The 14,421-nt window shown below is 40.0% G+C and overlaps 1 long non-coding RNA gene across 11 annotated transcripts in view, besides 2 other annotated features; it reads left to right on the forward strand.

The window, feature by feature from the left end:
- The window catches only part of LINC01811 (long intergenic non-protein coding RNA 1811), a 276,733-nt gene that overhangs the window by 250,693 nt on the left and 11,619 nt on the right, over window positions 1–14,421 (forward strand). The gene's annotated exons all lie outside the window — the stretch shown is intronic.
- Window positions 8,251–8,834: an enhancer, noted in NCBI's record as "H3K27ac-H3K4me1 hESC enhancer chr3:34459799-34460382 (GRCh37/hg19 assembly coordinates)". NCBI's record gives its function as "activates a minimal SCP1, AML or CMV promoter by ChIP-STARR-seq in naive and primed H9 embryonic stem cells {active_cell/tissue: H9 hESC(naive and primed)}" and the evidence as "EXISTENCE:reporter gene assay evidence [ECO:0000049][PMID:30033119]".
- Window positions 9,868–10,068: a silencer, noted in NCBI's record as "peak4607 fragment used in MPRA reporter construct". NCBI's record gives its function as "represses an SCP1 promoter by STARR-seq MPRAs in K562 erythroleukemia cells {active_cell/tissue: K562}" and the evidence as "EXISTENCE:reporter gene assay evidence [ECO:0000049][PMID:32103011]".

The raw sequence follows: 14,421 nt of genomic DNA on the forward strand, positions 1-14,421 counted from the left end.
GCCTGTTGAAAATACACTGTCAGACAAGAAACCTGGTCTCCCCATGAAGCTTCCATGTGTTTGAACCTGGAGGGCTCTAACAACATGGGGTCTTCCAATCATTTGAAGAAGTGATTGTGTTTATTTGCTCTGTATCCTTTACTTGACTTTCATTTAAATTCCACAAACATTTTCTGAACACCTACCAAGTGCCAGGCACCGCACTAGACCCTGGGGAAATTACAAAGATAAAGAAGACCTTGTCCTAGTTTCATTCTTGCAGAAGAGCCCAGCATATAAACAAACAAGTATTTATTGCACTTTGCAGAAAGAATTAGGGCTAATTAGTTATTCCTGTACCTAGTGTTGGGAGCCCAGGACAAGGTGTTAATTCTGACAGCAGGGGATATGGAAGTGATGTTGAGGGATGAGCATGGTGTTGATAAACAAGGAAAGGAGCTAGATTTATCTTTGCGGGCAACCAATACAAAACAGGAAGCAACATTCTTCAATTGTTTTCATACATAGTTTTGTCTGTAGGTTAGTACGCATAGATAATATGTGTGTGTGTGCATATATGTGTGTCTGTGTCTGTGTATGTATGTGTAGGAAAGAGTCACTGAGATGCAAAGAGAACTATTTCATATCTGGCCAGCCATAGGATGTTTATCACTAGTTTTCCGTGACTTGGGCTTAAAGGCCAACCTCTTACCTGCAAGACATAGAGAAAGCCATGACAGCATGATTATACTAATATTTCTGATCATCTGCAAAACTTATCATGTGGCAATCACCTGGACTTAAAATCTCCCGTTGAGATTTGGTTGTTAGCACAGCCCAAATAGGCTGCTCCCATTTTATTGTTTTAGTTTGCCAGACCCAGGCTGTGTTTATATTGAGGAGAGAAATAATTTTTTCCCATAAAAATGATTTGCAGAAACTGCCACTCTGCACTTCTGCAGGTTCATTTTAAAAGGATTTGGTAGAATCTGTTTGTTAGCAGGAAAAGAAAAGAGCAATATTGCCCCAGTTTTCACCACAGAGAGTAATGGGAAGTGACAGCCTAGGGCAGGCTGAAGTGGTGACAGCAGAAATAGTTCAGTGGTAAATGAGGAGGAGAATGATATTTATTGAACACCTGCTATGTTCCAGGCACAACTCTAAGCATGTTTTATGTATTGTTTCATTAACTCTGTAAAGATAAAATGGAATTATGCATGCAAAAATGTTTTATAATATGCTCTACGAATGTTAGGTATAATTAATATTTTCCTATACTGTAAAGCCTTCTAAGATTCATTTGAGACCAGTCTCTTCTGTTTTCAAATGTTAATCTACATTGAAGCAGCAGCAGGTCAGTTTTCTCTTATGAATAACTTCTAAGTAAGAAAAAGGTGATGAGAGAAGCAGATGGATTGACTCTTGAGATAGGAGAATGAAAATGTGTGCTGAAAGGGTTTATTATTTAGATTTTTGTTTTTGATTCTTCCTTTGGCTTTGACCTTATGAACTGCTGCTAGAGCAGCCAATGTGGTATCAGAAGTGAGCAGCCCTTTTATTCTGCTCTCCACTCCCATCATGGCTGAAGACGTGTAGCAATAGGGAGTTGGACTTGCCCTTCTAGTAAAGGTAAATGGCTTCCTGACCCACAAGTTGTGATCAAACACTGTAGACAATTTCATTAGACATTCCAGCCCTATTAGACCTCAGTAGACCTCAGTATATCTCAGTGTCCAGATATAAAAAATCTGCTGGTTGAGAAATGGCCAGTGGAAAACAAACCACTCATTCCAGATTTTAAAGGGGCTGATACTCAAGTTTCTGCCCTGGGACCAGAAACAATTGACTTCTTGTTCTACTAGGAAGGAATGGCTGATATTGCACCATTTAAACCTCCTAGTGTTGGATGTATCTCAGAGCCAGTCTATCTTTTACTGCATCCCTCCCCAGAACAAGAGCTAAAATGGTTTAATAAACTGTGCAATATATATACATACATATATACATACATATATATGCTATACACACATATATATATGCACACGCACGTGCGCACACACACACACAAACACACACACACAATGAAGGCACAAAAGAGAAACTGGAAGAACCAGAGGCAAATCTCATTTCCTTTTATTTCTATTTTACATCAGCTTCTTTCACTATGTATCTTGACTGATCTTCAGCAGCTTTCACTATTTGAAGCCAAGTCTAAATTCCTTAGTAAGATGCCTGGTCAAATGCTTTATCAAGCCTACAACCTTATCTCTCAATAATTTCCTTTGCTTACCTTACACTGTAGCCCCATTATATTTCTCCAGATTCCTAGCAGGCCCCATGTCTTCTCTCCTTCATGCTTTCATCTTAATGTTCTTAGTGTCTATGGTATCTTCTTCTTCATACATCTAAATCTCACTCTTCCTCTTAGTTCCCTCTCAAGCGCTATCCAGCCAAGAAGCCTTTTCAGCTACCTCCTCTCTTCTCTCCAGCTAATAATGACCCTTATTCCTCTGAAATATGTCATGCTCAGAGCACTTCACCCAAAGCACTTGACATTTGTTATTGCAGACTCCACATAGGTGGTATTTGATTCATATCAATGTATACATCATCATCTTCTTAAAGACAGCATTTTTACTACTTACTCATTTTTCAAGACAAACCTTCACATGGCTTTTTACAATCCTGCCTTATTTGATCTGAATTAGATCTCATGACCATTTGGGACTGCATTTGATACTGTATTTTAATCTCATGATTGAGGAGAGACATAGAGAGTAGGTGCCTTTGAGTCAGACCTGGTTGCCAGTCCCAGCCCTTAGTGATCTCGGACAAGTTATCTAACCCTTTAAAACCTCAGTTTCTGCCCTTCAGATGAATACAATGACTCTCTGCCTGGGTAGTTACTATAGTAGATTGAATAGTAACCCTGAAAAAATAAAATATGTGTCCACATCCCAATCCCCAGAACATGTGAATGTCACCTTATTTGGGAAAGAAGTCTTTGTAGATGTAATCGAGTTAAGGATCTTGAGATAGACAGATCATCCTGGATGATCCAGATATGTCTTAAATCTAATGATAAGTGTTCTTTTTTTTTTTTTTTTTTTTTTTTTTTTTTAGTATACTTTAAGTTTTAGGGTACATGTGCACATTGTGCAGGTTAGTTACATATGTATACATGTGCCATGCTGGTGCGCTGCACCCACCAACGTGTCATCTATCATTAGGTATATCTCCCAGTGCTATCCCTCCCCCCTCCCCCGACCCCACCACAGTCCCCAGAGTGTGATATTCCCCTTCCTGTGTCCTTGTGATCTCATTGTTCAATTCCCACCTATGAGTGAGAATATGCGGTGTTTGGTTTTTTGTTCTTGCGATAGTTTACTGAGAATGATGGTTTACAATTTCATCCATGTCCCTACAAAGGACATGAACTCATCATTTTTTATGGCTGCATAGTATTCCATGGTGTATATGTGCCACATTTTCTTAATCCAGTCTATCATTGTTGGACATTTGGGTTGGTTCCAAGTCTTTGCTATTGTGAATAATGCCGCAATAAACATACGTGTGCATGTGTCTTTATAGCAGCATGATTTATAGTCATTTGGGTATATAGCCAGTAATGGGATGGCTGGGTCAAATGGTATTTCTAGTTCTAGATCCCTGAGGAATCGCCACACTGACTTCCACAATGGTTGAACTAGTTTACAGTCCCACCAACAGTGTAAAAGTGTTCCTATTTCTCCACATCCTCTCCAGCACCTGTTGTTTCCTGACTTTTTAATGATTGCCATTCTAACTGGTGTGAGATGATATCTCATAGTGGTTTTGATTTGCATTTCTCTGATGGCCAGTGATGATGAGCATTTTTTCATGTGTTTTTTGGCTGCATAAATGTCTTCTTTTGAGAAGTGTCTGTTCATGTCCTTCGCCCACTTTTTGATGAGGTTGTTTGTTTTTTTCTTGTAAATTTGTTTGAGTTCATTGTAGATTCTGGATATTAGCCCTTTGTCAGATGAGTAGGTTGCGAATATTTTCTCCCATGTTGTAGGTTGCCTGTTCACTCTGATGGTAGTTTCTTTTGCTGTGCAGAAGCTCTTTAGTTTAATTAGATCCCATTTGTCAATTTTGGCTTTTGTTGCCATTGCTTTTGGTGTTTTGGACATGAAGTCCTTAACCACGCCTATGTCCTGAATGGTAATGCCTAGGTTTTCTTCTAGGGTTTTAATGGTTTTAGGTCTAACGTTTAAATCTTTAATCCATCTTGAATTGATTTTTGTATAAGGTGTAAGGAAGGGATCCAGTTTCAGCTTTCTACATATGGCTAGCCAGTTTTCCCAGCACCATTTATTAAATAGGGAATCCTTTCCCCATTGCTTGTTTTTCTCAAGTTTGTCAAAGATCAGATAGTTGTAGATATGCGGCATTATTTCTGAGGGCTCTGTTCTGTTCCATTGATCTATATCTCTGTTTTGGTACCAGTACCATGCTGTTTTGGTTACTGTAGCCTTGTAGTATAGTTTGAAGTCAGGTAGTGTGATGCCTCCAGCTTTGTTCTTTTGGCTTAGGATTGACTTGGCGATGCGGGCTCTTTTTTGGTTCCACATGAACTTTAAAGTAGTTTTTTCCAATTCTGTGAAGAAAGTCATTGGTAGCTTGATGGGGATGGCATTGAATCTGTAAATTACCTTGGGCAGTATGGCCATTTTCACGATATTGATTCTTCCTACCCATGAGCATGGAATGTTCTTCCATTTGTTTGTGTCCTCTTTTATTTCCTTGAGCAGTGGTTTGTAGTTCTCCTTGAAGAGGTCCTTCACATCCCTTGTAAGTTGGATTCCTAGGTATTTTATTCTCTTTGAAGCAATTGTGAATGGGAGTTCACTCATGATTTGGCTCTCTGTTTGTCTGTTGTTGGTGTATAAGAATGCTTGTGATTTTTGTACATTGATTTTGTATCCTGAGACTTTGCTGAAGTTGCTTATCAGCTTAAGGAGATTTTGGGCTGAGATGATGGGGTTTTCTAGATAAACAATCATGTCGTCTGCAAACAGGGACAATTTGACTTCCTCTTTTCCTAATTGAATACCCTTTATTTCCTTCTCCTGCCTGATTGCCCTGGCCAGAACTTCCAACACTATGTTGAATAGGAGCGGCGAGAGAGGGCATCCCTGTCTTGTGCCAGTTTTCAAAGGGAATGCTTCCAGTTTTTGCCCATTCAGTATGATATTGGCTGTGGGTTTGTCATAGATCGCTCTTATTATTTTGAAATACGTCCCATCAATACCTAATTTATTGAGAGTTTTTAGCATGAAGGGTTGTTGAATTTTGTCAAAGGCTTTTTCTGCATCTATTGAGATAATCATGTGGTTTTTGTCTTTGGCTCTGTTTTTATGCTGGATTACATTTATTGATTTGCGTATATTGAACCAGCCTTGCATCCCAGGGATGAAGCCCACTTGATCATGGTGGATAAGCTTTTTGATGTGCTGCTGGATTCGGTTTGCCAGTATTTTATTGAGGATTTTTGCATCAATGTTCATCAAGGATATTGGTCTAAAATTCTCTTTTTTGGTTGTGTCTCTGCCCGGCTTTGGTATCAGAATGATGCTGGCCTCATAAAATGAGTTAGGGAGGATTCCCTCTTTTTCTATTGATTGGAATAGTTTCAGAAGGAATGGTACCAGTTCCTCCTTGTACCTCTGGTAGAATTCGGCTGTGAATCCATCTGGTCCTGGACTCTTTTTGGTTGGTAAACTATTGATTATTGCCACAATTTCAGAGCCTGTTATTGGTCTATTCAGAGATTCAACTTCTTCCTGGTTTAGTCTTGGGAGAGTGTATGTGTCGAGGAATGTATCCATTTCTTCTAGATTTTCTAGTTTATTTGCGTAGAGGTGTTTGTAGTGTTCTCTGATGGTAGTTTGTATTTCTGTGGGATCGGTGGTGATATCCCCTTTATCATTTTTTATTGTGTCTATTTGATTCTTCTATCTTTTTTCTTTATTAGTCTTGCTAGCGGTCTATCAATTTTGTTGATCCTTTCAAAAAACCAGCTCCTGGATTCATTGATTTTTTGAAGGGGTTTTTGTGTCTCTATTTCCTTCAGTTCTGCTCTGATTTTAGTTATTTCTTGCCTTCTGCTAGCTTTTGAATGTGTTTGCTCTTGCTTTTCTAGTTCTTTTAATTGTGATGTTAGGGTGTCAATTTTGGATCTTTCCTGCTTTCTCTTGTAGGCATTTAGCGCTATAAATTTCCCTCTACACACTGCTTTGAATGCGTCCCAGAGATTCTGGTATGTGGTGTCTTTGTTCTCGTTGGTTTCAAAGAACATCTTTATTTCTGCCTTCATTTCGTTATTTACCCAGTAGTCATTCAGGAGCAGGTTGTTCAGTTTCCATGTAGTTGAGTGGCTTTGAGTGAGATTCTTAATCCTGAGTTCTAGTTTGATTGCACTGTGGTCTGAGAGATAGTTTGTTATAATTTCTGTTCTTTTACATTTGCTGAGGAGAGCTTTACTTCCAACTATGTGGTCAATCTTGGAATAGGTGTGGTGTGGTGCTGAAAAAAATGTATATTCTGTTGATTTGGGGTGGAGAGTTCTGTAGATGTCTATTAGGTCTGCTTGGTGCAGAGCTGAGTTCAATTCCTGGGTATCCTTGTTGACTTTCTGTCTCATTGATCTGTCTAATGTTGACAGTGGGGTGTTAAAGTCTCCCATTATTAATGTGTGGGAGTCTAAGTCTCTTTGTAGGTCACTCGGGACTTGCTTTATGAATCTGGGTGCTCCTGTATTGGGTGCATAAATATTTAGGATAGTTAGCTCCTCTTGTTGAATTGATCCCTTTACCATTATGTAATGGCCTTCTTTGTCTCTTTTGATCTTTGTTGGTTTAAAGTCTGTTTTATCAGAGACTAGGATTGCAACCCCTGCCTTTTTTTGTTTTCCATTGGCTTGGTAGATCTTTCTCCATCCTTTTATTTTGAGCCTATGTGTGTCTCTGCACGTGAGATGGGTTTCCTGAATACAGCACACTGATGGGTCTTGACTCTTTATCCAACTTGCCAGTCTGTGTCTTTTAATTGCAGAATTTAGTCCATTTATATTTAAAGTTAATATTGTTATGTGTGAATTTGATCCTGTCATTATGATGTTAGCTGGTGATTTTGCTCGTTAGTTTATGCAGTTTCTTCCTAGTCTCGATGGTCTTTACATTTTGGCATGATTTTACAGCGGCTGGTACCGGTTGTTCCTTTCCATGTTTAGCGCTTCCTTCAGGAGCTCTTTTAGGGCAAGCCTGGTGTTGACAAAATCTCTCAGCATTTCCTTGTCTATAAAGTATTTTATTTCTCCTTCACTTATGAAGCTTAGTTTGGCTGGATATGAAATTCTGGGTTGAAAATTCTTTTCTTTAAGAATGTTGAATATTGGCCCCCACTCTCTTCTGGCTTGTAGGGTTTCTGCCGAGAGATCCGCTGTTAGTCTGATGGGCTTTCCTTTGAGGGTAACCCGACCTTTCTCTCTGGCTGCCCTTAACATTTTTTCCTTCATTTCAACTTTGGTGAATCTGACAATTATGTGTCTTGGAGTTGCTCTTCTCGAGGAGTATCTTTGTGGCGTTCTCTGTATTTCCTGAATCTGAACGTTGGCCTGCCTTGCTAGATTGGGGAAGTTCTCCTGGATAATATCCTGCAGAGTGTTTTCCAACTTGGTTCCATTCTCCACATCACTTTCAGGTACACCAATCAGACGTAGATTTGGTCTTTTCACATAGTCCCATATTTCTTGGAGGCTTTGTTCATTTCTTTTTATTCTTTTTTCTCTAAACTTCCCTTCTCGTTTCATTTCATTTATTTCATCTTCCATTGCTGATACCCTTTCTTCCAGTTGATCGCATCGGCTCCTGAGGCTTCTGCATTCTTCACGTAGTTCTCGAGCCTTGGTTTTCAGCTCCATCAGCTCCTTTAAGCACTTCTCTGTATTGGTTATTCTAGTTATACATTCTTCTAAATTTTTTTCAAAGTTTTCAACTTCTTTGCCTTTGGTTTGAATGTCCTCCCGTAGCTCAGAGTAATTTGATTGTCTGAAGCCTTCTTCTCTCAGCTCGTCAAAATCATTCTCCATCCAGCTTTGTTCCATTGCTGGTGAGGAACTGCGTTCCTTTGGAGGAGGAGAGGCGCTCTGCGTTTTAGAGTTTCCAGTTTTTCTGTTCTGTTTTTTCCCCATCTTTGTGGTTTTATCTACTTTTGGTCTTTGATGATGGTGATGTACAGATGGGTTTTCGGTGTAGATGTCCTTTCTGGTTGTTAGTTTTCCTTCTAACAGACAGGACCCTCAGCTGCAGGTCTGTTGGAATACCCTGCCGTGTGAGGTGTCAGTGTGCCCCTGCTGGGGGGTGCCTCCCAGTTAGGCTGCTCGGGGTCAGGGGTCAGGGACCCAATTGAGGAGGCAGTCTGCCCGTTCTCAGATCTCCAGCTGCGTGCTGGGAGAACCACTGCTCTCTTCAAAGCTGTCAGACAGGGACACTTAAGTCTGCAGAGTTTACTGCTGTCTTTTTGTTTGTCTGTGCCCTGCCCCCAGAGGTGGAGCCTACAGAGGCAGGCAGGCCTCCTTGAGCTGTGGTGGGCTCCACCCAGTTCGAGCTTCCCGGCTGCTTTGTTTACCTAAGCAAGCCCGCGCAATGGCGGGTGCCCCTCCCCCAGCCTCGTTGCCGCCTTGCAGTTTGATCTCAGACTGCTGTGCTAGCAATCAGCGAGATTCCGTGGGCGTAGGACCCTCTGAGCCAGCTGTGGGACATAGTCTCGTGGTGCGCCGTTTTTTAAGCCGGTCTGAAAAGCGCAATATTCGGGTGGGAGTGACCCGATTTTCCAGGTGCGTCCGTCACCCCTTTCTTTGACTCGGAAAGGGAACTCCCTGACCCTTGCGCTTCCCAGGTGAGGCAATGCCTCGCCCTGCTTCGGCTCGCGCACGGTGCGCGCACACACTGGCCTGCGCCCACTGTCTGGCACTCCCTAGTGAGATGAACCCGCTACCTCAGATGGAAATGCAGAAATCACCCGTCTTCTGCGTCGCTCACGCTGGGAGCTGTAGACCGGAGCTGTTCCTATTTGGCCATCTTGGCTCCTCCTCCGATAAGTGTTCTTATACCGCATACGCAAAGGAGAAGTCAGACTCAGAGAAGGCAATGGGAATACATAGACAAAGACTGGAGTGATGTGATCACAGGCCAAAGAAGCCAGCGACCACCAGAAACCAGAAGCAGCACAGAATATGTTCTCACCTAGAGCCTCTGTAGAGACTGCAGCCTTGCTGAAACCTTGATTGTGGACATCTGACCTTCAAAACTATAAGAGATTAATTTTTGTTGTTTTAAACCACCAATTGTGTGGCAATTTTTTACAGAATCAAAATACAGTTATGTTTCTATCTGTCTATCCTATGAACCTGACAGCTCATGAAGGAAGGAACCTTCCTTCCCTCAAACTGCCAATCCCTGAGGCTAGCTCAGTGTTTGGAGCAATAATATATGTTTGATAAATAGTACAGAGCATATTTTCTGCTTAGCCCTTTAAATGACCATGTGGAATTGAGATTTTATCACTAAAAAGGAAAGAAAACTTAAAAAAAGATTAGAGAAGGATTTAGAGGAAGAAAATCTCTTCATTTAAGACTTTATGCTCCAAACTGTTTTTTTTTTTAATTCATTTATTATCAGTCCCAAAAAACCAGGACAGTCTGAATGTATAATTTAGATCAGAGACAATGGAATTTCTCTCCTTTTCCTTTAGTCGTCAATTAGCATTTATCAGGTGCCTACTCTGTGCAGAGGCCTATACTGTATTAGGCTGTCTTAGTATCCACATTTCACTGTCTTGACTGATGATCAACTACTTATTCCTGTGACTTACATGGAGAATGTCCATCCCCTTCTAGGAATACTCCACCCAGTTCTAGTGGGCTAGAACCTTGTCCATGGTGCTGAATAGATGTGATGTGCCTATCAGAATGATCACAGCACAGCCAGCCTAGTAGCTTTATATAAAATATACAGGCATAACAGCAGAAGGGTGGGTCATTTTAGTAAAATGTTTGCTTACATAAAGAAGTATTACATAAAGAAGGATTTACAGAACTCTACAAATATCTCATTCATGCATCTTTCATCTGAATGTTTATTAAGTCAATCTTCTATATCAGACACTCTGCTAGGTGTTGGAGAAAAATGGACCTTATGATGAAAGTGTCCTCAGTTTAGTGAGGGAGACAAATGCACATAATAGAAAAGGCTAGTATTAAAACAGACAGGTCTAAATTACTGATGACAATGGGGGAATAGCCAAAGAAGCACAAAAAAACTGGGATGTGTTTTGTTTCCGTTCTTTTGTTCATTTCTTCACTCATTCATTCCTTCATTCAACATCACTTGCCTTGTAAAGTAGCAAAGTTTTCAGTCCTTGTGGGTGACTTGAGCCCTGGCAGCCAGATGATCTCTCATGGAATGCTTTCTGCAGTAATTGCGGGTTTGACATTGATAGTATTTAATTCCCTTATAGTTTAAGATTCTAGATTTTCATCATGTAGAGTGAAAGAAACAGAAGAGAACAAAAGAAGGGAAGATAATTTATATCTACTGTAAAATACTAGCTCCTCTATTAATAGTATTTCATCGAATATTTCCAAAAAGCCTATGTAATCCGATAGTATTTTCTGATTTTACAAGTAAGGCAGATGATACATTGTGACTACATGTCCCCACCAAATCTCATGTTGAATTGTAATCCCTGATGTTGGAGGTGGGGCCTGGTGGGAGATGTTTGGGTCATGGGGGCAAATCCTTCATGGCTTGGTGTTATCCTCATGATAGTGAGTGAATTCTTGCAAGATCTGGTTGTTGTAAAGTGTGACGGCTCCTCCTCCCCGAATCTTTCTATTCATCCTGCTTTTGCCATGTGATATGCCTGCTCCCCCCTTCACCTTCCACCGTAACTGTAAGCTTCAGAGGCCTCCCTAAAAGCTGAGCACATGCCAGCACCATGCTTTCTGTAAAGCTTAAAGAACCATGAGCCAATTAAACCTATATTGTTTATAAATCACCCAGTCTCAGGTATTTCTTTATAGCAATGCAAGAACAGCCTAATACAAGAGAAGATACTAAGATTACATAACTTTCTGAAAGTCACATAATCAGCAAATGGAGAAGTTGAGATTCCAAAAATGTCTTATTGAATCCAAAGCCTGAAGATACCCTGAAATTTTCTCACACAATCAGACTGGGATTTCATTTTATGTACTATGTTACAAGTGATGCCAGGGTATAATTAGGTCATTCCCATACCTTAATTACTAAGCCCCTTTGGTTTGTAAGCTATGATGTACTGACCACCGTAGATGCTGCCATATAATGTGAATGTCCAAATGCTGTCAGTCACAGGCTTGAGGAGGAGAATTCACTGTTGTTAGCTTTTTCTAAGAAAGAGGACCAGGTATTAATCTCTAGGTAGCACTGGGCTCAGTGACAGCTGTCCTAAGTTGTAACTTTTTCTGTTTTTACTGAAATAACTCATCATGATATTCTATTTGTCACTTGTCAAGGAAATCAATATAGTCTAGAACTGTTACCTCGCCAGGATCTGTATTGGACTATTTATGGTCAAAGGCAAGTTTACCAACAGAGTAGGAGGGGCAAAGCAGATAAAAGGATCTGGATCTTTCTTGTAAATATTGAGTGGCTTGTGTGTCCCTTGGAAAACTAAGGCATAGAGGACATTTACAAAGGGAGGGGGACTGGAAAAGAGGAAATGAAAGACCTTTTTAAAAATAAGGACAATTATATTTGCTTGGTAGAGCTGTTGTGAGGATTAAACAGGATATTATACATTGTATAGTGTTGAGTATAGTGCCTGGCACAAAGCAGATAGTGAATGAGTCATATCCATTATTAGGCACTGGAGAGGAAGAAAGATAAAAAGACCATAAGTAAAAATAACATCCACAGCAATAGCACAGAATTCTTCAGTGCCGGGAGTGAAAAGAAGTAAGTCGCCAACATGAAAAGTAGAGATAGTATCCTTTGTTTCCATTGGTTATTAAGGTGTTTCATTCATTTAAATATTTGTCAAGCAGGAAACACTGTGCTAGGTACTGAGGAGATGGAGACAAGTAAGAAATGATGTTTGCCTGCAAGACTTCAAGTCTAGTTGAGGAAACAGAGATAAACATATAATTGTATTGTAGTTTGCTGAATGAGAAAGATACAATGATGGTGATGTACAGTCCATGAGCACAGGATCCATATGTACATTTGCTTGCAATCTTTTCCTCTTACACCCATCACAGTGCCAGGCACATGGAAAACCCTCAATCAGTATCAGTTGAATGAATAAATATTGAGTGAAAGAATAAGGGAATATGCTAGGGTGGTGAATTAAGGCTATGCTGAGACAAAAATATTTGAGCTAAGATACCTGATGTCTGAATATTGAGTATTGGGGTGGATGAGGATGGTTGTGTGCATGTGTTGTGAGAGTGGGGGGGGTATGGATAAAGAGATGCCAAATCCATGGGGAAAGTGTAGGAAAGACACGGTGGCATGAAACAGCAGGGACCACACGAGAATAGAGAACATTTGGGAGCATAGGCAGCACTGGGAATGAAGCCGAAGTGGTAGATAGTAACAGATTAAAATATAAGCAGCTTCTACTGATTTGTTCATTCCTTCACTTAAAAGGTATCCACTGAGTGCTTACCATGTGTGGAGACTATTAATAGGTTTTGACAATAACACGTTGACCAAACCAGGCAAAATTTCTTATCTCATGGAGCATGCATTCTCATGAGACAAACAGCAAAAACCATTTAAAACGTTTAGTATGTTGAATTGTAATTAGTAATATGGAGAAAAGTAAATCCTGAAAGAAGGTGTATGGAGGATGGCTGAGAAAAAGGTGTATGGAGGAAGTATAGCTCATGAGACCTAGTGGTTTCAAACTCTACAATTTTTTCTTTTAGGATTTGAACTTGCAAAGCCAGGTTACCTTTGTTCTCATGCACTGTGACTTGACTTGAGCTTATGGCCTCCATCTGAAGTCTGGTGCCTAGGGTTCATAATTACACTGGTGACTTTGCAAGGCTTTTTGAACCTTTTTAGCCATCCTATATGTAATATCATAAAGAGTTCATTTTTTCTGTTTTAAAAAAAGAATAATTATTGATTTATTACCAATTGTGATTTATAAACACTATCATCAATATTATGGAACTAGATTTCAATACTCATAAACACTTCTACTAAATCTCTCACATCAGCTTAATTAAGGACTGATTTTTCTTATCCCTTAAAATATGAATAATATTTATTTAATTTCTTGCTTCAGGCACAGAAAAGCTTGGTTGTGTTCTCCATACAGCTTTCTGGTTACTGGTTTTGAGGGTACAATAGCTCTATGCCCTTTGCTTGCTGTAATTACTCCGGCATTAAATGCTTATCTTAGGGAAGGAGTGAAATATCTGGGTAATTTTTTAACAAATTAATTATCTTAAATATTTTTGAGTAAAAGCAGGTATAAATTAATGAAAGAGTCTCCTAATTAGTATTGGGATCTTCTCTGTTCTCTGTTGTACAGTGAGAAGTGTAAGGGTATTAAATGGAAACGCAAGTTGCCTTTTATTTAGGCAGAATGTGAATAGGGCTATTTGCTCATTTTCACCATTACTGGTAGGTACCCAGTGACATAAAATCAACTCTGCATGTCCTTGGAAGGGACTTTCAGACTGAACCACTTTGCATTGTTCTCCAGGCCCCCAAATACTGCAGGGGTGAGCCCTTCTGTCCTCTCATTCCTTCACAAGATCTCAATAAGAATGGAACTGCAAATGCTGAAACTTTGGGGTTCTCGGCTTACTCCATACCTCCTACCTGCCCATCATCCCTGTCTTCACTGTTTTGCAACACTTCTTGCACTGCTTTTTTCCCCTCAGCTTGCAAACAGCTCAAACCTCTTCCATATTAAAAAAAAATAAAATTTTAACCATCATATTTCACCAATCTCCTTTCTTTTCTCTTTCACAATAAAACGTCTTGAAAGAGTTGTCTGTATTCACCTCCTCTCCCTCACTTTTCTTTCTTACTCGTTCACTTTCACACTACAATTTGTGTTCAGCAACATCATTTCCACTATACACTCTACAGAGATTGTTCTTGGTAGAGATGCCACTGACTTCAAGTTTTTTAAGGCAGTAGGCTAGTGTCATTTTATTTTTTGATAGCATTTGACACTGCTGACAAGTTATCTTCTCCTTTGTTGTTTGCTACACTCCACTCTCCTTTTCTCCTGCTACCTCCCCAGTGGTTCCTTCTCCTTATGGTTTCCTCTTCTTAGGTTCTTCATTGGTCCTACCTGCATTTATGCACTCCTTTGACTTCAGTTATCATCTAT

This window comes from Homo sapiens, chromosome 3 (genome assembly GCF_000001405.40).
Source record: "Homo sapiens chromosome 3, GRCh38.p14 Primary Assembly".
NCBI lineage: Eukaryota > Metazoa > Chordata > Mammalia > Primates > Hominidae > Homo > Homo sapiens.